Consider the following 3,303-nt stretch of genomic DNA (forward strand, 5'->3'; position numbering starts at 1 on the left):
TACAAATTCATTGCAATTCCCATCAAAATACCACCATTAGTCTTCACAGAACTAGAAAAAACAATCCTAAAATTCTTATGGAACCAAAAAAGAGCCCAATAAACAAGCAAGTCTAAAAAAAAGAACAAATCTGAAGGCATTACATTACCTCATTTCAAACTATACAATAAGGCCATAGTCACCAAAACAGCATGATGCTGGTGTACAAATAGGCACATCGACCAATGGAACAGAATAGAGAACCCAGAAATAAACTCAAATACTTACATCCAACTGATCTTTGACAAAGCAAACAAAAACATAAAGTGGGGAAAGGGCACCCTATTCAACAAATGGTGCGGGGATAGCTGGCAAGCTACATGTAGGAGAATGAAACTGGATCTTCATCTCTCACCTTATACAAAAATCAACTCAAGATGGATCAAGGACTTAAATCTAAGCCCTGAAACTGTAACAATTCTAGAAAATAACATCGGAAAAACCCTTCTACACATTGGCTTAGGAAAGGATTTCATGACCAAGAACACAAATGCAAATACATAAAAACAAAGAAAATATCTGGGACTAAATTAAACTAAAGAGCTTTTGCATGGCAAAAGGAAGAGTCTGCAGAATAAACAGACAACCCACAGAGTGGGAGAAAATCTTCACAATCTATACATCTGACAAAAGAATAATATCCAGGCTCTAAAATGAACACAAATAGATTATCAAGAAAATAACAAACAATCCCAATAAAAAGTAGGCTAAGGACATGAACAGACAATTCTCAGAAAAAGATATACAAATGACCAACAAACATATGAAAAAATTCTCAACATCACTAATGATCAGGGAAATGCAAATCAAAACTACAATGAGATATCTACTTACTCTAGTTAAAACGGCTATTAACAAAAAAGACAAAAAATAACAGATCCTTGTGAGGATATGGAGAAAAGGGAACTCTTTCTTACACACTGTTGGTGGGAATGTAAAATAGTACAACCATTATGGAAAACAGTATGAAGATTTCTCAGTAAACTAAAAACAGAACTATCATACAATCCAGCAATCTCACTAGTGGTTATTTATCCAAAAGAAAGGAAATCAGTATATCCAATGGACACATTACACTCATGTTTATTGAAGCACTATTCACAATAGTTAAGGTTTGGGATCAACCTAAGTGTCTATCAACAGATGAACGGATTAAAAAATTGTATTTTTGCACAGTACTATTTTGCCATGAAAAAGAATGAAATCTTGTCATTTGTAGCAACATGGATGGAACCAGAGGTCATTATGTTAATTGAAAGCCCTGAAGCAGAACAAAAACAAACTCTTGGTATGCCAAAGAGATAGATAATAAAATAAGCCAGATACAGAAAGTCAAATATCACATGTTTTTATTCATCTGTGGGAGCTAAAAAAGTGGGTCTCATGGTGGTAGAGAGTAGAATGATAGTTATCAGAGGCTGGAAAAAGTGTGAGTGTGTATGGGAGGGGATTTAAGAGATGTTGGTTAATAGGTACAAACACAGTTGGATAGAAGGATTAAGCCATAATGTTTGATATTTGAGTAGGGTGACTATAGTTAATTACTATTTATTATATATTTCAAAATGGCTAGAAATGAGGATTTGAAATTTTCTCAATACATAGAAATGATAAATGCTCAAAGCAATGGATATCCTAAATATCTAGACTTAATCATCACATGTTCTAGGCATGTAAGTATCACATGTACCCCATAAATATATAAAAATATGTATCAAAAAATGCACATTGCTCCCATTTGTTGACTGACTAGGTGAAAATATTTAGTGCCATGAATAATCCCTGTTTACTCTGTTTATGGGCATATTGAAAGGTTATAAGGCTCAGAGAGACCAGTATTGTTGATAGCCTGCAACTACAATAATTATTTGTCTCTCTCCCATATTCTGGATATATACAGCCAAATTCAAAAGTAATTCACAGGAAAAAGTCTGATCAATGTGAGAGCACTATAAAATTACTAATAAAGTTATATTTGCCAAAATATGGCACTCTAACTTGGAAAATGCAAAGGTTCCTTGATATGAAAGACACAAGACCTGAAGGTCAAAACTCCCTGACCAATCTAGCACTTCCTAAAAAGTAAATCTGTTAATATCCCTCTACCCTTCACACATGAGAGTCACCAGGTCAGTGCATGGTTTCCTCCTGTTATCTTCACCAGTCTGGGAGCTTTCAGTCATTTATCACCTCCTTCTTCCTTCTCATCTCCCACAGTCAGTCGAATACTATGTCTTTCTCACCCCACCTTTGTCCATCCTTCAAATTCCACAGACTCACTGCTCCTCTTGGGTTTGAACCATTGTATCTGTCCCCTTGAATCATCATCCATATTTTATTTTATCTGCAAACTTGAATCCATTTTGTGCACATAAGCAGATTACTTTTTCCCAAAATCTTATTTCCTGAGTCACTTAACATCCTAATGCTTATCGTTTAGTATTGCAATAGCATAGTAAAAGCTTGTATTTTTGTAGCCAGGCCCTGTACTATCTGGTCTTTCCTAGTCCTCTACGTATGTCTTACTCTCCCTTCTACTTCCAGAGAGCCAGTTTCATGCAAGTCACGAAGCCCTAGCTTGCTGGTTTTAGAATTTAAGCCTTTATTAGTATTCTATCTCCCACGGAAAGTCTTCATCACACTCTCCAAAAACTTTCCCACTCAGGTCCTAACTCTAACTTTATTTTAGTGCATGTTACATTCTATCAGAAGATAATGCACAATGATATCATGTGTCTTAGCTTCAGCTAACCCATGAAATAATGGAATCCTTCATGGAAAGAGCAGGCTATTGTTGATACACACTCATCTTATCTCCAAATCAATTTCATAAAACATGTGACAAGCTAGCTACTTCAAAATGTAAATAAGAGTAAATTAAAATAGTAATTCTAGCCTATATCTTGGATATCTATGAAGTTTTGTTTTGTTTTGTTTTTGTTTTTAATGAAAAGTGACATGTACCACAAATCTGCTTTCTCAGGTACCACTAACAGCTCCTTCTTTCCCCGGTGCAGTAAAAACTGCCTAGGAGTCTCTGTCCACTTAATTAACCATTTTCCCACCCCGATAAAGATTTTTCTCCATCATATCATCCTCCTTGGAATCCTGGAATTCTCCCATAACATCCACATTAATTTTACAAGCCCCCATACATTTCTTAAGGAAGCTCTTGGTTCTTCCTATGTTTCTCTCCATCCCTCAGCCCATGAACACTTTTTCCTTTTAACACAAGAGTAAAAGATGGAGAAGATAAAATTGCAA

The 3,303-nt window shown here is 35.4% G+C and overlaps 2 annotated features.

Annotated features, from left to right (window-relative positions):
* Positions 1,732-2,478: a DNaseI hypersensitive site, noted in NCBI's record as "hypersensitive site HS-E1; observed in K562 erythroleukemia cells; the nucleotide coordinates are approximate for this feature". NCBI's record gives the evidence for it as "EXISTENCE:in vivo cleavage assay evidence [ECO:0001075][PMID:21321362]".
* Positions 1,732-2,478: a conserved region, noted in NCBI's record as "conserved_region; human and mouse orthologous HS-E1 region". NCBI's record gives the evidence for it as "EXISTENCE:sequence alignment evidence [ECO:0000200][PMID:21321362]".

Source organism: Homo sapiens, chromosome 11, assembly GCF_000001405.40.
Source record: "Homo sapiens chromosome 11, GRCh38.p14 Primary Assembly".
NCBI lineage: Eukaryota > Metazoa > Chordata > Mammalia > Primates > Hominidae > Homo > Homo sapiens.